Genomic DNA, 20,144 nt, shown 5'->3' with positions numbered 1-20,144 from the left:
TCCAGCCTGAGTGACAGAGCAAGGCTTTCTCCAAAAAAACAAACAAACAAACAAAAAAAAAACTCATAGTAAAGGGGAAAACAGCATATAGTCAAAACACTTTTTTGGTTTCAATTATCTGCAGATTTCAGATGAAAACAGTATTTACATAGGCCGGGTGTGGTGGCTTACGCCTATAATCCCATAATCCCAGCACGTTGGGAGGCCGAGGTGGGCAGATCACCTGAGGTCGGGAGTTCGACACCAGCCTGACCAAGCCTGAGCAACATGGTGAAACCCCGTCTCTACTAAAAAATACAAAAATTATCCGGGCGTGGTGGCACGCGCCTGTAATCCCAGCTACTCAGGAGGCTGAGGCAGGAGAATCACTTGAACACAGGAAGCAGAGGTTGCAGCGAGCCGAGATTGTGCCATCGCACTCCAGCCTGGGCAACCGAGCGAGACTCTGTCTCAAAAAAAAAAAAGAAAGAAAACAATATTTACTTGTTCTGGATTATTTGGGTGGTATTTTAGTTTTTCTACTTTGCTGCCTATATAGGCATAATCTGAGGCAAATGTGAAGAGAGAATTTCAGTTGGGGAATGATCTTCTGACATTAGTAAATGGCTACTAATCTCAGTTTGCAGCTTTGTGCTTTTAAGAGGATGTTAAAGACAGTCAGAAACCTCCATCTTTAGCCTGTCTGCAATAATTGGACTGTGACTTGGACCTAGATCCTAGGGAGAACATCTGGACTCCAGTTTCCTATTTCCAACCCTGACTCGGAGTTAGAGGCTAAATGGGTTTGAGAACCCAATCAGCTTAAAAAAGGCAATTCGAATATAGATAAAATAGCAAGCTTATGCTTTACAGGCGTTCTAAGGACTGAGAGAGATTGATGAGCAATGCAGATTCACCCAGGTTCAGACACCTCACATTCAACTAGATCACATTTCTTATAATTGTGATGTTAGAAAGTCTGGTCATTCTGTTTTGAAATTCGTTGTACAAAAGGAAGATTCAGGGAATAAAGAAGGCATGTGAAAGTATTACAAAGGAGAGGTAATAGGAATATAATTTCTTGGCTTGAAATGAATTCTGGTGCTAGACCTTGGATATGCAGAGTGATGGACAGAATTTCCTAAGAAATAAATAATCCCCTAGCAAGTCTTGTTCTAAAATTACACTGATATAAAAATAACCTGATTAGAATAATGAAAGTGTGAATTAGGTTCACACATTGGTGCCTTTGCTGGGACAAAAAAGAGACTTTCCTGAGGGTTGTCTTGTTCCAGTTTCTCAGCCACTCACCATGTGATACCTCTGACTTGTCCTCTTGGATCATTTCCTACCTCTTGCCTTTGGCAGTGTTAATCTGGTGATTTTCAAAGTAAAGAAATGAACAGCTGATGACAGAAGAAATTTGGAAATAAATTGAGGGTGACTCATCCTCAAGATTAAAAACAATTATGGATTATTATCTGCTGTTTTATTTCTACTCCAAATGCTATTCACCATCATTATCCTGCTCTATAAAGAGTGGGTCCATTTGGCAGAAGATTGTGCTTAATATGCACAGGGATGTCATTGAGGTGGGAATGGACAACGAAGAGTTGGCTAGAAACATTAACTCTATTCATTGTGCAACAGAGGTGCCCGGTTAACATTTTTTTCTTTGTAAAGTTCAACTTGTTTCCCTCATAAGGCAATGTTTTAATTCTTAAGGTCTTTCCTTTTTAAGTCTTCTAAGATGGGTATTTTCCCCATAAAGTTTTGGTTCTGTTTGGTAGATCGCATCAGGAAAGGGTTACTGCCCAACATGTATCATAAGTGGCAAGGTGAAGTGTGATCATGGAAAATGCCTTGCATTTTAGCCTTGTATAACTATATTTAAGGAAAATTGGAGTTTTTCACAACTTAACTCACTAGATGGTGACATAAAAGACTGAGTGGGATGGACAGTCTTGGAGAGATTTCAAAAGCAATTTCAAGTCTGTTTACTTGCACACCAAAGATAATCTAAGTGCTGAGCTGGCTGAACATTGGCTGACAGTGTTTTTCCCTGGGAGCATTTTATTTTCTAATAATCCCACAGGGAAACTCTTCAGATCTACACCTTTAACCTCCTTTCAACCTGTGGTTTTGCAGGCCAGGATTTTTTTTTTTCTTTTGTCATTGGTTAGTTATTTCCCCAAAATGATGGAGGGGAAGGATCAGGGTCTGTACTTCCAAATTGCCAAGGGTGTCCTCACAGGGGCTTTTTATAAGCGTCTGAGAAAGCTGCTCCCTTTGTGGTCCTTAGTGTGGATTTATAGCTTTTTTCTGGCATGGTTTTGGGAAAGAGTCAAGGATTTTGTCTGTCTTACGTAAGCCTCATTTTCCCATAGATAACTCCATCTGGCCAGCATAGTAGTTTTCCAGATTTACCCTTAGATGTTTCAAGGCAGTAAGGTCTCAGGATATATCAAGGGAAAACAATATTGGGTGATCACCAATTTACCAATTCCAGATTATACAAAAGAGGGACCATAAACATATTCTTGGTTTAAGTTAACTGAATAGGGATGAAGCTGTTTTCCTGATCCTAGGACTGTGAAGGATCTAGACCAAGTTAATCTAACTTAGGGATAAAAAACAAGACACAATTTTAGTGGAGTCATGTAGTGAAGACATAGAAGAAGTGGGTAACGGTGAAAGAGGCTAGACAGATCATAGATATAATAAGATTTTATCTGTATCTGAAACAAACGGAAAATAGCCCAAAGACTGAGCTTCGTAGTTACTTTCCCTGGCAGTGGAGGGGAAGTTAGAAGGAGGACAAGAAAATAAGAAATGAAAGGGTTTTTGTGCATACACATGTCCTCAGGGCCCATTTTGCTCTCTAGATCCTGCCAAGATTTTCCAAAATTGTTGTGGGTATGAGAAATCACAGATTCAGGATTAAGACTTTGTTGATTATGTGGAAAGGAAGGAAAAATACTAGCTGAAGGCTGGGGACATGCTAGTTTCCCAACACATAAAATTAATAGACTTTTTTTTTAATCACACAGAAATCCTTGTTCTAAAAAAAACCTTTTTTTTTTTTTTTTTGAGACAGGGTCTTGCTCTGTTGCCAAGGCTAGAGCAGTACAGTGGAGTGATCTCGGCTTACTGCAGCCTCCACCTTCCAGGCTCAAGTGATCCTCTGACGTCAGTCTTCCGAGTAGCTGGGACTACAGGCACACACCACCATACCCAGTTAATTCTTTTTTTTTTTTTTTGTAGCAATGGGGTTTTGCTAAGTTGCCCAACCTGGTCTCGAAATCCTGGATTCAATTGATCTGCCTGCCTTGGCCTCCTAAAAGTGCTGGGATTGCATGCCCCTGTGCCCGGCCCTGAATTTTTTTTTTTTTTTTTTTTTTTTTTTTTGAGATGGAGTCTCACTCTGTCACCCAGGCTGGAGTGCAGTGGCACGATCTCGGCTCACTGCAACCTCCGCCTCCCTGGTTCAAGCTATTCTCCTGCCTCAGCTTCCCGGGTAGCTAGGATTACAGGCACGTGCCACTGTGCCCAGCTTATTTTTGTATTTTTAGTAGAGACAGGGTTTCACCATGTTGGCCAGGATGGTCTCGATCTCCTGACCTTGTGATCCGTCCGCCTCGGCCTCTTAAAGTGCTGGGATTACAGGCGTGAGCCACTGCACCCGGCCCTGAATTTTTTTAAATTAACTTTTGTAGAGACAGGGTCTCACTCTGTCACCCAGGCTGGAGTGCAGTGGTGTGATTGTAGCTTATTACAGCCTTGAACTCTTGGGCTCAAGTGATCCTCCCACCTCAGCCTCCCAAGTAGCTAGGACTAGAAGTGTACACTACCATGCCTGGCTAATTTTTTTTTGGTACAGACAGGGTCTGACTATGTTGCTCAGGCTGGTCTTGAATTCCTGGCCTCAAGCAATCCTCCTGCCTTGGCCTCTCGAAGCGCTCTGAGATTATAGGGATTACAGGCATAAAGTACCGTGCCCAGCCTAAACTTTTTTTTTAACATGACTACAGGCTGGGCACAGTGGCTCACGCCTGTAATCCCAGCACTTTGGGAGGCCGAGGTAGGCAGATCACAAGGTCAAGAGATCGAGACCATCCTGGCCAACATGGTGAAACCCCGTCTCTACTAAAAGTACAAAAATTAGCTGGGCATGGTGGCGGGCGCCTGTCATCCCAGTTACTAGGGAGGCTGAGGCAGGAGAATCACTTAAACCTGGGAGGCAGAGATTGCAGTGAGCTGAGATCCTGTCATTGCAACTCCAGCAACAAGAGCAAAACTCCAAAAAAAAAAAAAGAGAAAAAAAAATGACTACAACTGAAGGCCTCTTGTGATTGTAAAGTAGAAGAAATTAGATCTCTGGATACTGAACAGGAGAAAGGAGATTAGACTTTGAAATCATAAATTAGCAAATTTCAAAAAGGGGCCTCCCTGTTTGCCCAGCAAAACATTAAGGATCTATTATTCTGTTGACATGTTAACTTTCTCTAATCTTTATGCTGTCTTTTACAGATGGGCTGATTTCTTTGTCATTCTAGAGCCTTAAAATATTCATACATTTTGATCTATTGATAAATTTCATCACTGGAGATTTATCTTATAGAAATAATTCCAAAGAAGGGAGAGCCTTCTATCATTCTACGGCTAGCAGTTCCCTGCTGTTCTGGGCTCTCTCTCCTTCCCTGGGCTGCTCCTACGTCACTATACTACTACCTTTACCATTCCATCATCAAGTGTATACATTACCCCACAGCACAAAAAGAACCGGCTAGAAAAGAACAGAACAGAATTGCAATGGCAGAATTGACAACTGGCTTACCATTTCAGCTGTTCAAGGCCTGACTGGTCTTCCTGCACTTCCTAGTAAGATGACTCACGGTACCATTACAGAATTATCTCACGCTAGGGTCAAACCTGATTTCTACCACCGAGTGTGTGGTAGAGGCATGTTTCTCAGAACCCAGAGCCAAGATAAGGAACAGTCTCCAATTCCCTGTTCTCTCCCCTCCCTCCTTCACCCTTCATTCCAGGCAAGTCTCCTAGGCAAGTGTGTCCCATCCTCATCCTCTTTTTTTTTTTTTTTTTTTTTTGAGGCAGGGTTTCACTGTCTCTGTTGCCCAGACTGGAGTACAGTGGTGTGATCATGACACACTGCAGACTCGACCTCCTGGGCTCAGGTGAGCCTCCTGCCCCAGCCTCCTGAACATCTGGGATTGCCAGTGTATGCCACCACTCCCTGCTAATTAAAAAAATTTTTTTGTTTTTTAGAGACAGGTTCTCACTATGTTGCCCAGGCTGGTCTCAAACTCCTGGACTTAACCTATCCTCCCGCCCTGGACTTCCAAAGTGCTGAGAGTACAGGTGTGAGCTGCCACACCTGACCTCTTGTTGGTTTAGTCTTTCCAAAGTTTTTTCCATGTGATTGACAGGGGCAAGGTCCATGCTTAAGAGTGAACTGTCCCAGATTTCCCATGGCTGTCACAGTTTTAACACTCAAAGTCCCATGTTCAGGGAAACTCCTCAGTCCTGGGCAAAACTAAGACTGGTTATCCTACTTCAGGGAAGCACCATCCTACCTCAGGGGAGTGGCTCCATGAGGAGAGTCCTACCAGAATTCAGTGATCAACAGTAAACACCATAATGAGTTCTTGAGTCTTAACATCAATATGAGGAACATCAGGGGTACAGCCCAGGATGATCTTCACTTCTGCTGGCCTTGTTTCTTTTTTACAGTTTTTCCTCTAGTGTGAGGAGATTCCCGCAAGGTTGATGGTTTCAACTCCTGATCTCTTGTGATCCACTCTTCAGTCTAAATAAACATTTCCATAAGAACATGCAGTAGTTTGCTGTCAAACTGAAGCTTAAATCCATATATATACATACATATTTGAAAAGAACAGTTCTCTAAAGGAAATTTATCTGTAAAGGTGCAACTCTGCCCATAGAATAAGCCACCCTTTCCATGGTCTCACAAAGCAGTCTAGACTCAGCGTTGCAAATATTTTCATTTTCAGATGATGATTTTAGATAAATCTTTGCCGAACTTTCAGGTGTTTTACTCAAAAGTCTCCAGCTTTTGAAAAAAGGAAAATGTCTAGAGCAGTGAAATTAGTTTTTTTTACTGCAATCAAGGTTTCAAAACAATGTAGTTGGCCGGGCGCAGTGGCTCAAGCCTGTAATCCCAGGACTTCGGGAAGCCGAGGTGGGTGGATCACGAGGTCAGGAGATCGAGACCATCCTGGCTAACACGGTGAAACCCCGTCTCTACTAAAAATACAAAAAAATTAGCCGGGCGTGGCCGGGCGCAGTGGCTCACCCCTGTAATCCCAGCACTTTGGGAGGCCGAGGCGGGCGGATCACAAGGTCAGAAGATCGAGACCACGGTGAAACCCCATCCCTACTAAAAATACAAAAAATTAACTGGGCGTGGTGGCGGACGCCTGTAGTCCCAGCTACTCGGGAGGCTGAGGCGGGAGAATGGCGTGAACCCGGGAGGCGGAGCTTGCAGTGAGTCGAGATCATGCCACTGCACTCCAGCCTGGGTGACAGAGCGAGAATCCTCAAAAAAAAAAAAAGCCGGGCGTGGTGGCGGGCGCATGTAGTCCCAGCTACTCGGGAGGCTGAGGCGGGAGAATGGCGTGAACACAGGAGCCAGAGGTTGCAGTGAGCCAAGATCGCTCCACTGCACTCCAGCCTGGGCGACAGAGCGAGAGTCCGTCTCAAAAAACAAAGAAACAAAAACAATGTAGTTATCTGAGTAAAATTTGAATGAGGGCTATAGCTATGCTCCACAAGCCTCTCCAAGAAGGAGAGTTTTCTTTCTTTCTTTTTTTTTTTTTTTGTAGTCCCGAGTAGCTGGGACTACAGGCTCCTGCCACCACGCTTGGCTAATTTTTTGTATTTTTAGTAGAGACGGGGTTCACCGCATTAGCCAGGATGGTCTCAATCTCCTGACCTCATGAACCGCCCGCCTCGGCCTCCCAAAGTGCTGGGATTACAGGCGTGAGCCACCGCGCCCGGCCTGGGCAGTATTTTCAAAGACTTAGAGGAGATTTTTGTAAAGTGCCAATACATTATTTAAAAAAGGCTAATACTGTAAGGATGTGCTCTTTGAGTTTAATTAAAGTCTTCAAAGGCTGGGACTTTTTTTTTTTTTTTTTTTTTTTTTTTTTTTTTTTTTTTTTTTTTTTTAGACGGAGTCTTGCTGTGTCGCCCAGGCTGGAGTGCAGTGGCACGATCTCTGCTCACTGCAACCTCCGCCTCCTGGGTTCAAGCGATTCTCCTGCCTCAGCCTCCCGAAAAGCTGGGATAACAGGCACCCGCCACCACGACCGGCTAATTTTTGTATTTTTAGTAGAGACGGGGTTTCACCATCTTGACCAGGCTGGTCTCAAACTCCTGACCTCGTGATCCACCTGCCTCGGCCTCCCAAAGTCCTGGGCTTACAGGCGTGAGCCACTGCGCCCGGCATTTAAAAAAAAAAAAATTTAAGATAGGGTCTTGCTCCATAGATCAGGCTGGAGTGCAATGGTGTGATCATGGCTCATCGCAGCCTCCACCTCCCGGGCTCAGGATATCCTTTCATCTTAGCTTCCCGAGTAGCTGGGCCTACAGGCGGGAGCCACCAGGCCCGGCTAACTTTTTGTATTTATTTATTTTTTTTTTATAGAGACTGGAGTCTCACCATGTTGCCCAGGCTGGTCTTGAACTCCAGGGCTCAAAGCAATCCACCAGCCTCGTCTCCTAAAGTGCTGGAATTATGGACGTGAGCCGCTGCGCCCGACAAACTGGGACTATCTTGTTTCCTTTTTACACCCTTCCTCTCTGAGTAGTGGGGAAGGGTGTAAACCTCCCTAGGAGCAGGTAAGGTAGACTATGATTGCTCACAATTGGTAACCATACTTGCAGTGATCTTTGTGATTTATTGAATCACATCTAGGATGTACATATTAATCCATATTTGTGCTGAGCATATTCATTTATCAACTAAGAGACTACAGAAAAAAGCCATTGTTGTGGTGATGAAAATGTCAACACTTTATCAGGTTCTGAACCCAAAGAGACTTTTGCTTATTATGTAAGAAGCACACCTGTGGCTCTAGGCCTTTGGAAGAAAATAAAAGAGAAAAGCAATCCGTGTGCTTTTTTTCCCCCTGCCTTAAGGTCAGGCTACATAATTCTGGGTTTTCCCAGCTTCTCTTGGTCATGCTTTGTGGGGACTAAACTGGAGCTTTTACGTAGACTGTTCATTTTGTTCCTCAGCTTGAATTCTCTCTCGTTTTCTGTCTCTATGATTTTTAATTCCCCTCACTGCTCTGTTAGGAAACTAAGGGTCAAATGAGGTTAACTAATTTGCTCAATTGGGATAAAGAGTGTTGGGAGTCCATAGAACAGTTGGGGGACTATAGTTACACAACAAGTGTTATTGCGCTATGATTTGATCTTCAACACATTCACGAGAAACTCCAGTTCTCTAAAGAACTTTAACAGCCGGCGACCCACAGAAAATGGCAGAAGTGCAGGCTCTTTTTTAACCCGTGGCTTATGATCTGGGTTTGTTTATTTACGCCTCAGACAGGAGCCGGACCTTGAGTAGGAGTTGAGCTGTTTTTCGGCGCTCGGCTGTGGTTCCTTGAACGATTGCTTGGGCGTTCCTCCTTTGATGTCTGGGGCGTTCTTGTATTCGGTGATCTTTTGCGCCGTCTTCTTGCTTGATGTCTCCTGAGCGGCGGCGGCGCCGGGTCGAGGGCTGAGTTGTCCGCGAGGCCCCGCGCTCAAGCCGCCTTCTCCTGCCGGTCGGTAGAACGGACCCCTTCCTTTATTCCTGTCTCCTCTTTCTTTTTCCCTGTGGCTCAGCCCGTTCGCTGGACTGCAAACCGAGCTCCCGTCTGCCTTGCAGGTAGGCCCAGGAGGAGCCTGGGAGGCCCAGCCCGGCATCCTTCCGCCGCGGGGTTGAGAAGACCTTGGCGCCGGCGGGTGGGCAGGCTGGCCGGCCGCCGTGACACTGCCAGAGGAGGGGCTACCGGACTGCGTTGAGGGGCGCGGCCGGAGGGGCAGCCCGGAACCGAGGGAGAAGCCGAAAGGAGGGAGAGTTGCTGGGGCTTCCCGGTGTGGTTCTTTAGGGAGGAGATGTTGGGTCTAGGGCACCCCCAGTGTGTGGCGAAAATGGCTTTCCAGGAACCGATAGAGCTTTGCGCACTTTGACCCTCCTTCCTTTCTCCTTTTCCCCCCACCCCGAAGTCTCCGGGTGTCATGCCTCAATTGCACTGGGGACCCCTACTGAGTCCAGCCTTTGAAGGGACCTTTGAGTAGGTGGAGGCTTATGGAACAAGGCCCTCTGGCTCTTCTGAGCGAAGTGTTATGTTCTCGCCTTTTTCTGGGTGGGTAAACTGAGGCTGATGTCTGGGACGTGACTTCCCCACATATCCCCAACAGATCATTAAATTCACTGTAAGTCACTTTTTGTCGTTTACCAATTCCCTTCCCCCCACTTACCAGTCAAGTTATGAAAACAGTGAGTTATTGTTTGATCGTCTGTGATCCCAATTTTCCTAGGAATATAGACTGTTAGGAATATAGATCCTGTCACAAGAGGCTTCAGAAGTAAAGGAACCATGTGGTTTCTTGGCTGTTTTGCTTTTCAAAGTCTGTATCATTTTAACTAGTGTAGCAATGACAGTTTCTTTTTGTTTCTTGATAACCTTGTTGTCTACTTTGTTTCCTGATAACCTTGTTGTCTACTTTGTTTCCTGATAACCTTGTTGTCTACATTGTTTCCTGGTTGATTTATCCTCCTTCTCCCCAGCCTCTTTGGAAATCTTATAACTATGGTGTTTGTGGTTAGAGGTTAGAGTCTAGTAGAGGATGGTCAAGACTTTGAAGGCAAACGCTTGTCCTGTGAGGGTCTGCTTTCTGGGGAGTATCCAATGGAAACCCAAGGAGTCTGTCTCTCTTTTTTCTTTTTTTTTTTTAAGACAGGCTAGCTCTGTCGCCCAAACTGGAGTGCAGTGGCGCGATCTTGGCTCACTGCAACCTCTGCCTCCCGGGTTCAAGCGATTCCCCTGCCTCAGACTCCCGAGTAGCTGGAAGTACCGGCGCGCGCCACCACACTCGGCTAATTTTTGTATTTGTAGTAAAGACGGGGTTTCATCATGTTGGCCAGGCTGGTCTTGAACTCCTGGCCTCAAGTGATTCGTCCACGTCGGCCTCTCAAAGTGCTGGAATTACAGGCATCCACCGCGCCCGCCCAGTTTTGTTGTATTTGATTAGTAGTTTGGTCACTGCACATACAAAAGCTAAAAAAGGCTGTGTGTAGAAATCATTCAAATATTGAGATATTTAAATGAAAGGTTAACGCTTTGGGAACTCCTTTGTGGTTCCCTTTTCCTTCCCAGCTTGGAAAGTCTGGGGACTAAGTCTGTTATTTTCATCGGATTCAGTACCATGATCCTAATTTGTGTCACTTCATTCTTGGAAAAAAAAAAATTCAGCCTGTCGGGCGCAGTGGCTCACTCCTGTAATCCCAGCACTTTGGGAGGCCAAGGCAGGTGGATCACCTGAGGTCGGAAATTCGAGACCAGCCTGACTAACGTGGAGAAACCTAAAAATTCAAAATTAGCCGGGCGTGGTGGCGCATGCCTGTAATCCCAGCTACTTGGGAGGCTGAGGCAGGAGAATCACTTGAACTCGGGAGGCGGAGGTTGCGGTGAGCCGAGATCACGCCGTTGCACTCCAGCCTAGGCAACAAGAGCGAAACTCCGTCTCAAAAAAAAAAAAAAAAAAAAATCAGTCTTGAGGTCATTCTGGGTTGGATAAGTTTCCAAAGTATGTAGAATCAGTAAGAGAGCGTTTTTTTGTGTGTGTGTTTTTTGAGACGGAGTCTTGCTTTGTCCCCCAGGCTGGAGTGCAGTGGTGCGATCTCGGCTCACTGCAAACTTCTCCGCCTCCCAGGTTCAAGCAATTCTCTGCCTCAGCCTCCTGAGTAGCTGGGATTACAGGCGTCGCCACCACGCCCAGCTAATTTATTGTATTTTTAGTAGAGATGGTGTTTTACCATCTCGGCCAGGCTGGTCTTAAACCCCTGACCTCGTGATCCACCTGCCTTGGCCTCCCAAAGTGCTGGGATTACAGGTATGAGCCACCGCGCCCGGCTAAGAGAGTGGTTTTAAGGGTGCAGAGATTCAGTTCCTAGTCCTTGAGTGGAAACTGTACAAGGCCACATTCTCCCACTATTTTAGTATTCTCATGTGAGTTTTGGAAAGATTACTGTTCCTTTAATTTTTTGTGTGAGGTCAGCAAGATTTAAATGAAGGGCCCTTAATCATAAGCAATTTCCTAGTTACACGACCTCAGTGCTCCCAGAAGGGGATTAATGAAGAGCCACCAGACTATCTTTATGGAGAATCTAGATTGGGAAGTTAAGCTAAGAATGTGCATTTTTGAAAAAGTTTTTATGGTAGAAGAGAATGTATATCAGAGGAAAGAATGTAGAGAAGAAAGCAACATTGTCCACTGGGAATTGATAAGTTCTGCGTAGAATTTAGAGTTATAAGGACTATCTCATTGGCTCCTAATGAATGCTAAATAACAAATGGAAATTGCTGTGAGTGTCATGAAGCAATCTTAGGAATATTTTATTATGTTTCTGCAGGAAATAATTGGCAGAGGCTTAAGTTGAATTGAGGCCAAGAAATTTGGTGGTGTTGATGGGAGGTTACAGGGATAGAGCTTATCAACTTAATCAACTTATCTCATGCTTTGTGATAGAAGTTCATTCAGCTTTTTTTCTTTTTGTTTTTCTTTTTTTTTTTTTTTGAGATGGAGTCTCACTCTGCCGCCCAGGCTTGAGTGCAGTGGCACGATCTCAGTTCACTGCAACCTCCACTTCCCGGATTGAAGCAATTCTCCTGCCTCAGCCCTCCTTGCGTAGCTGGGATTACAGGCGTGTGCCACCATGCCCGGCTAATTTTTTGTATTTTCACTCAGCTTTTAACTTACTTGGTTAAATCTTGTGGTGTTCTGTCAATGTTAGATTGGGTTCTCTGTTGACATTTCCTTTAAAAACTGGACGGGTTCAGAATGTGACTGAATTCTGTCTTTTAGTAAGAAAGTTCTTGGAGATGATTAAAGATTTGAACTTCTAGAACTTAAGCTGGAACAGAGTTATGTATATCACTTGAAAAAGATTAGTTTTGTATATCGTTAGAAAACAATTGATTATTTTTATTAATAAAGTAGTAATTTAATTTTTTTTTTTTCCTGAAGAGATGAGGTCTCCCTATGTTGCTCAGGCTGGACTCAAAACTCCTGGGCTCAAGTAGCCCTCCCCAATAGCTGGAACTACAGGTGCATGCACCTGGCTTACATTTTTTTAAATTAATTTTTTTTTTGAGATGGAGTCTTGCTCTGTCACCAGGCTGCAGGCAGTGGCGCAATCTTGGCTCACTGCAGCCTCTGCCTCCTGGGTTCAAGTGGACTACAGGTGCGCACCACCGCACCCAGCTAATTTTTTGTATTTTAGTAGAAATGGGGTTTCACCGTGTTGGCCAGGATGGTCTCTATCTCCTGACCTTGTGATCTGCCCACCTCGGCCTCCCAAAGTGCTGGGATTACAGGCATGAGCCACCTCGCTCGGCCATACATTTTTATACTGTATAATTTTCACAATATTTTCAATATGTGTTAGGAAACTTATAAAACTTTTGTTTTGATCATGTAGCTTTATGGTGCTTATTAATATCAAATCCAAACATTTTGGTCCTCAAGCATATTGGTGAATGTTGTCTGTTTAAGTTGACAATTTTTAGACCGGGCGCGGTGGCTCACACCTGTAATCCCAGCACTTTGGGAGGCGAAGGTGGGTGGATCATGAGGTCAGGAGATTGAGACCATCCTGGCTAACACGGTGAAACCCCTTCTCTACTAAAAAATACAAAAAAAATTAGCGGGGAATGGTGGTGGGCGCCTGTAGTCCCAGTTACTTGGGAGACTGAGGCAGGAGAATGGCGTGAACCCGGTAGGCGGAGCTTGCAGTTAGCCGAGTTAGCACCACTGCACTCCAGCCTGGGCGACAGAGGGAGACTCTGTCTCAAAAAAAAAAAGTTGGCAATTTCTCTCACACTTCCAATTTATCTCACTCTTAAAGGAATAAGAGAAAATGTTTTGTTGTTAGCACAGAGAGGTGTCTTTTTCTAAGATATGCCTCAGCCTTGGTAGAGTTATTTTGGAGTGGAATCCGCATTTTTTTGCCCAGTGGTTTGGTTTACCCCAAAAAAACTTAGGTTCCTTTAATCACAGTCATTCTTGTTTCATTCTCCAATTGTTCCTCATAAACTCAGAGAGAGCTTTCAGTGTCTTAATTTCTGTTTGTATAGAAATGCTGTGGTACAGCCTGTCCTGTGGTTTGGGGTCATTTATATTTTATCTTTTCAGGCTCCCCCAAGTTAATGTGATCAATTTTTTTTTGCACAGCTAAAATTAGTTACTGATGGATAAAAATTTTATGATTAGTTATTGTCAGCATGTATTTATGTGTCCAGTAGTATGTGGCAGCCTGCCAATGTAATGTAAGGAGAAAATAGATTAAGTAATCAGGAGATCTGGGTTTAAGCCCTAGGTTTACTACCTGAGAAGTCTTGTACAAATTATTTAAGGAGGCTGTAGGGAAGGTTAATGTCCTTTATTGAGCATTTACTGTGTCATGTTCTTTACATGTGTTATTTCATTTATTACTTATAAGAGTCCTTTAGAGTAGATGTTAATTTCCCCATAGAGATACTATTTTTCCATTTTTTTGTTGAAGCCCAGTGACAGTAAATAATTTAACCAAGATCACACAGTAGGTATAGTAGAGCTGTGATTGAAATCAAAGGCTTTGAATGCTTTTCTGAGTCTGTATTTAAAGAATGGAAAAGTAAAACATCCATCATAATACTTTTTTTTTTTTTTTTTTGAGATGGAGTTTCGCTCTTGTTGCCCAATCTGGTGTGCAATGGCGCGATCTCGGCTCACTGCATCCTCCGCCTCCTGGGTTCAAGCGATTCTCCTGCCTCAGCCTCCCTGGTAGCTGGGACTACAGGCATGTGGCTGGCTAATTTTTGTACTTTTTTTTTTTAGTAGAGACGGGTTTTCACCATGTTGGTCAGGCTGGTCTCGAACTCCTGACTTCAGGTGATCCACCTGCCTTGGCCTCCCAAAGTGCTGGGAATACAGGTATGAGCCACCGTGCCCGGCCCATCATAATACTTAAGTTGATTACATTGAGAAAAAGTATGTGAAAATGCTTTAAAAGGATAAAGTACTCTTCAATTGTTAACTTCCATGCTATTTTACAACAACAATGAACAGATGTTATTTAAGTTCTTGGGCAACTTGCTACTTTCTGTTTATTTTTTTTGAGATGGAGTCTTGCTCTGTCATCCAGGCTGGAGTGCAGCTGCGCTATCTTGGCTCATTGCAACCTGCGCCTCCCAGGTTCAAGTGATTCCCCCTCCTCAGCTTCCTGAGTAGCTGGGATTACAGACACGTGCCACCAGGCCCAGCTAATTTTGTATTTTTAGTAGAGACCAGGTTTCACCATGTTGGCCAGGCTGGTCTTGAACCCCTGACCTCAAGTCATCTGCCCAACTTGGCCTGTCAAAGTTCTGTGATTACATGCATGAGCCACAGCACCCATCCTCCTTCTATTTCTTTTCTGACTTATTTTTTGTCTCTCCCTCTGCTCTTAGGGTTAATAATCTTCACTTCTCTACCTAAATTTTTTTCTTCATTGTGTGTTGTTTTGGTACCGTGTTTTTTTCTGAGGTCAGAAATATTCCCATCAGACGTTGTGGAGCTATTTCTTGATTGTGACTGTGTGTTTCAACCCTTACCTATGAAGATGTTTGTTCATCTAGCAAATATTTATTGAAGACTCATTAGATGTTGGGATACAAAGGTAGACATAGGTGTTCTTATGGTCTCCTTATGGAGTTTATTCCAGTGGGGAGTATAGGTATTTGATAAATATTGAAATTTAGACTGAAACAAGTATTCTGAAGGAAATAAACAAGGGCTGACAGAGGGAAGAAGGAGTGAGGCGAGCCCTGGGTATTTACAGGGATTAGAGTCTTCAGTCATAGCATCCTTAATCCCCTTGAAAAGTTGGAATCACGAATCATAATTGCGTAAATTTAAGTTTCCTTGCTGCCATCTAAGTCTTCAGTCTTCATTTAAGATTGATTGCTACATGTAATATGTGTCTGATATTTAATGTATGATAATACTGGGTTTTACATAGTCAAGGATAACTAGGACTTATAAATATCTAGCATGCTTGACTAATGAGTTTAATTTTTTACTTTTTTTTTGTGGCAGGGTCTCACTCTGTGGCCCAGGCTGGAGTGCAGTGGTGCAATCTTGGCTCACTGCAGCCTCCACCTCCCGGGTTCAAGCGATTCTCGTGCCTCAGCCTCCCGAGTAGCTGGGACTACAGGTGTGTGCCACCACGTCCGGCTAATTTTTGTATTTTGAGTAGAGATGGGGTTTCACCATGTTGGCCAGGCAGATCTCGAACTCCTGACTTTAGGTGATCTGCCCACCTTGGCCTCCCAACATGTTGGGATTATAGGCGGGAGCCACTGTGCCTGACCTGAAGTTGTGTTTCTTTAAAATGAGCTGAAGCAAATTTTATATTTCATGATTTCATCACTTATTTCTACTCTCTAGAATAGATCACAGGTATATATACCTATAGTATAATGAAGCATCTGAAATTTTGCTGAGTTGGAGAGGATTAATAAGCACATTTGATTTGCAGAGAAAATTGGAGTATTTTATTCTAGGCGACCACTGAAAACAGGACAGAAAAATATCTCTCCCCAGACTTTTGAATAGCAGCATAGTGGCACTGAGTCCTGGAGCCAAGCAGCCTGGTTCAAATTCCAGCACCCCTGCTTACTAGCTATACAACTTGGGCAAGTTACTTAGTCTCTCTGTGCCTCTCCTCATCTGTAAAATACCATACAGTTGTTGTAAGAACTAAATTAGTTAATATGTATAAAGCATTTAGAACAGCACTAGGTGCTGTATATGCCAGTTGTTAGTAACAATGTTATTATAACAAAATAAAGTTTTCCAAAAGAACACATGATAATGATTCTTAGATTGAAGTTTAGATGCTTTGGGAAAACTTTAATAGGGAATAGGAAGTTAAAACAGCATATTTGTCCCTCTTTCCCCACAGTACCCTTCAAAATAAAGTAAAAGGATATAGGTTCAAATCCTAGCTAGGAAAAAAAAAGTAAAAAGATGGATCTTTATTTTTAATTAAAAAATTATTTTTTTATTATTTTTTGGAGACAGTCTTGCTCTGGTGCGGTGGCACAATCTTGGCTCATTGCAGCCTCTGCCTCCTGGGTTCAAGCGATTCTTGTGCCTCAGCCTCCCGAGTAGCTGGGATTACAGGTGTGTGCCACCACACCTGGCTAATTTTTGTATTTCTTTTAGTAGAGTCAGAGTTTTGCCATGTTGGCCAGGCTTGTGTTGAACTCTGGCTTCAAGTGATCTGCCCACCTCGATCTCCCTAAGTGCTGGAATTACAGGTGTGAGCCAGTGCGTCCAGTTTTAAAAATCATTATTATTTTCGGCTGGGTGCAGTGGCTAATGCCTGTAATCCCAGCACTTTGGGAGGCTGAGGCGGGTGGATCACCTGAGGTTGGGAGTTCATGACCAGCCTGACCAACGTGGAGAAACCCTGTCTCTGCTAAAAATACAAATTAGCTGGGTGTGGTGGTGCATGCCTGTAATCTCAGCTACTCGGGAGGCTGAGGCAGGAGAATAGCTTGAACCCCGGAGGCGGAGGTTGTGGTGAGCTGAGATCATGCCATCACACTCCAGCCTGGGCAACAAGAGCGAAACTCCGTCTCAAAAGAAAAAAAAAATTATTGTTATTTTCCAATTATAAAAGTCTTTATGCCTGGTGTGGTGGCCCACACCTTTAAACCCAGCAATTTGGGAAGCTAGGAATATATATATATATATATATATATATATTTTTTTTTTTTTTTTTTTTTTTTTTTTTTTGAGATGGAGTCTTGCTCTGTCACCCAGGCTGGAGTGCAGTGGCGTGATCTCAGCTCACTGCAACCTCCGCCTCCTTGGTTCAAGCGATTCTCCTGCCTCAGCCTCCTGAGTAGCTGGGACTACAGGCGTGTGCCATCACGCCTGGCTAATTTTTGTATTTTTAGTAGAGTCGGGCTTTCACCATGTTAGCCAGGATGGTCTCGATCTCCTGACCTCGTGGTCCACCTGCCTCGGCCTCCCAAAGTGCTGGGATTACAAGTGTGAGGCACCATGCCCAGCGTTTTTTTTTTGGAATTATTTATTTATTTATTTATTTTTATTGATCATTCTTGGGTGTTTCTCGCAGAGGGGGATTTGGCAGGGTCATAGGGCAATAGTGGAGGGAAGCTCAGCAGATAAACAAGTGAACAAAGGTCTCTGGTTTTCCTAGGCAGAGGACCCTGCGGCCTTCCGCAGTGTTTGTGTCCCTGGATACTTGAGATTAGGGAGTGGTGATGACTCTTAACGAGCATGCTGCCTTCAAGCATCTGTTTAACAAAGCACATCTTGCACCGCCCTTAATCCATTTAACCCTGAGTGGACACAGCACATGTTTCAGAGAGCACAGAGAGCACAGTCGCCCAGGCTGGAGTGCAGTGAGTGGTGTGATCTCAGCAACCTCTACCTCCCAGGTTCAAGCGTTTCTCCTGCCTCAGCCTCCTGAGTAGCTGGGTTTATAAGCACCCACCACCTCATCCAGCTAATTTTTGTATTTTTAGTAGAGACAGGGTTTCACCATGTTGGCCAGTCTGGTCTTGAACTCCTGACCTCAGGTGATCCACCCATCTCAGCCTCCCAAAGTGTTGGGATTACAGGTGTTAGCCACTGAGCCTGGCAACAATTTTTTAAAATTAGCTGGAAATGGTGGTGCATGCCTGTATTTCCAGCTGCTTGCGAGGCTGAGGCAGGAGGACTGCCTGAGCCTAGGAGATCAAGGCTGCAGTGAGCCAAGATCACACCACTGCACTCCATCCTGGGCATCATCATGGCAAGACCCTGTCTCAGAAAAATTAAAAAAAAAATTCTTTCTAGTGATTATAGCAGAGTGTGTATTTTTCAGTCATTCATTTGTTTTTTTTGTTTTTTTTCTTTTTATTATTATTATTATACTTCAAGTTTTAGGGTACATGTGCACAATGTGCAGGTTAGTTACATATGTATGCATGTGCCATGCTGGTGTGCTGCACCCACTAACTCGTCATTTAGCATTAGGTATATCTCCTAATGCTATCCCTCCCCCCTCCCCCCACCCCACAACAGTCCCCAGAGTGTGATGTTCCCCTTCCTGTGTCCATGTGTTCTCATTGCTCAATTCCCACCTATGAGTGAGAACATGCGGTGTTTGGTTTTTTGTCCTTGTGATAGTTTACTGAGAATGATGATTTCCAATTTCATCCATGTCCCTACAAAGGACATGAACTCATCATTTTTTATGGCTGCATAGTATTCCGTGGTGTATATGTGCCACATTTTCTTAATCCAGTCTATCATTGTTGGACATTTGGGTTGGTTCCAAGTCTTTGCTATTGTGAATAGTGCCGCAATAAACATACATGTGCATGTGTCTTTATAGCAGCATGATTTATAGTCCTTTGGGTATATACCCAGTAATAGGATGGCTGGGTGAAATGGTATTTCTAGTTCTAGATCCCTGAGGAATCGCCACACTGACTTCCACAATGGTTGAACTAGTTTACAGTCCCACCAACAGTGTAAAAGTGTTCCTATTTCTCCACATCCTCTCCAGCACCTGTTGTTTCCTGACTTTTTAATGATTGCCATTCTAACTGGTGTGAGATGGTATCTCATTATGGTTTTGATTTGCATTTCTCTGATGGCCAGTGATGGTGAGCATTTTTTCATGTGTTTTTTGGCTGCATAAATGTCTTCTTTTCAGAAGTGTCTGTTCATGTCCTTCGCCCACTTTTTGATGGGGTTGTTTTGTTGTTTTTTTTTTTTTTTTTTTTTTTTTTTGGAAATTTGTTTGAGTTCATTGTAGATTCTGGATATTAGCCCTTTGTCAGATGAGTAGGTTGTGAAAATTTTCTCCCATTTTGTAGGTTGCCTGTTCACTCTGATGGTAGTTTCTTTTGCTGTGCAGAAGCTCTTTAGTTTAATTAGATCCCATTTGTCAATTTTGGCTTTTGTTGCCATTGCTTTTGGTGTTTTAGACATGAAGTCCTTTCCCATGCCTATGTCCTGAATGGTAATGCCTAGGTTTTCTTCTAGCGTTTTTATGGTTTTAGGTCTAACGTTTAAGTCTTTAATCCATCTTGAATTAATTTTTGTATAAGGTGTAAGGAAGGGATCCAGTTTCAGCTTTCTACATATGGCTAGCCAGTTTTCCCAGCACCATTTATTAAATAGGGAATCCTTTCCCCATTGCTTGTTTTTCTCAGGTTTGTCGAAGATCAGATAGTTGTAGATATGCGGCATTATTTCTGAGGGCTCTGTTCTGTTCCATTGATCAATATCTCTGTTTTGGTACCAGTACCATGCTGTTTTGGTTACTGTAGCCTTGTAGTATAGTTTGAAGTCAGGTAGCGTGATGCCTCCAGCTTTGTTCTTTTGGCTTAGGATTGACTTGGCGACAGTCATTCATTTGATAAATGTTTGTTGCATGTGTATTCCTTCAGTAGGCAGTGAGGATACCATAATGCTGTGTATTATGTACTATGGCTTTTTTTTTTTTGAGTTATGAAATATCCCTGTGAGGCCTTTTACAACTATTTCTTGATTGTGATTCTGCATCTCAATTCGTACCTTTTCAGACTTTTGTTTATCTAGCAAATATTGGTTCTGATCAGAACCAGTCCTTATTGAATGCTTTGTGCCAGGTACTGTAGTAAGCGCTTTGCATTGATTCTTTTCATTCCAACTAACAACCTTATGACGTAAGTACTCTTATTCTTCTCATTTTATTGATGTAGCAGTTGTGGCACAGAGAAATTAAGCAATTTGCCCAAGGTATATAGCTAGCAAATGGCAGAACCAGGATTCGCGTCCAAACAACCTGGCTCCACATTCCCCTGCTCTTAACCTCTAAG

At 43.6% G+C, this 20,144-nt stretch overlaps 1 protein-coding gene across 10 annotated transcripts in view, besides 3 other annotated features; it reads left to right on the top strand.

The window, feature by feature from the left end:
- Positions 8,449-8,949: an enhancer, noted in NCBI's record as "H3K27ac hESC enhancer chr11:46615325-46615825 (GRCh37/hg19 assembly coordinates)". NCBI's record gives its function as "activates a minimal SCP1, AML or CMV promoter by ChIP-STARR-seq in primed H9 embryonic stem cells {active_cell/tissue: H9 hESC(primed)}" and the evidence as "EXISTENCE:reporter gene assay evidence [ECO:0000049][PMID:30033119]".
- Positions 8,517-8,946: an enhancer, noted in NCBI's record as "active region_4682". NCBI's record gives its function as "activates an Ori minimal core promoter by ATAC-STARR-seq in GM12878 lymphoblastoid cells {active_cell/tissue: GM12878}" and the evidence as "EXISTENCE:reporter gene assay evidence [ECO:0000049][PMID:35858748]".
- Positions 8,701-20,144, top strand: part of AMBRA1 (autophagy and beclin 1 regulator 1) — a 197,612-nt gene continuing 186,168 nt past the window's right edge. For 7 of the 10 annotated variants that reach the window (NM_001367470.1, NM_001367469.1, NM_001267783.2 and 4 more), the window contains exon 1: positions 8,701-8,896. The gene's annotated coding sequence lies outside the window, so the exon portion shown is untranslated. Of the gene's footprint in view, positions 8,897-11,359; positions 11,600-15,279; positions 15,470-20,144 lie in introns of those variants that run through there. The other 3 variants (NM_017749.3, NM_001367468.1, NR_160027.1) reach the window with 2 other exon arrangements.
- Positions 17,606-18,450: an enhancer, noted in NCBI's record as "NANOG-H3K27ac hESC enhancer chr11:46605824-46606668 (GRCh37/hg19 assembly coordinates)". NCBI's record gives its function as "activates a minimal SCP1, AML or CMV promoter by ChIP-STARR-seq in primed H9 embryonic stem cells {active_cell/tissue: H9 hESC(primed)}" and the evidence as "EXISTENCE:reporter gene assay evidence [ECO:0000049][PMID:30033119]".

Source organism: Homo sapiens, chromosome 11 (assembly GCF_000001405.40).
Source record: "Homo sapiens chromosome 11, GRCh38.p14 Primary Assembly".
Lineage (NCBI taxonomy): Eukaryota > Metazoa > Chordata > Mammalia > Primates > Hominidae > Homo > Homo sapiens.
The sequence above is the reverse complement of the archived record's forward strand: the minus strand, read 5'-3'. Positions and strand labels throughout refer to the sequence as shown.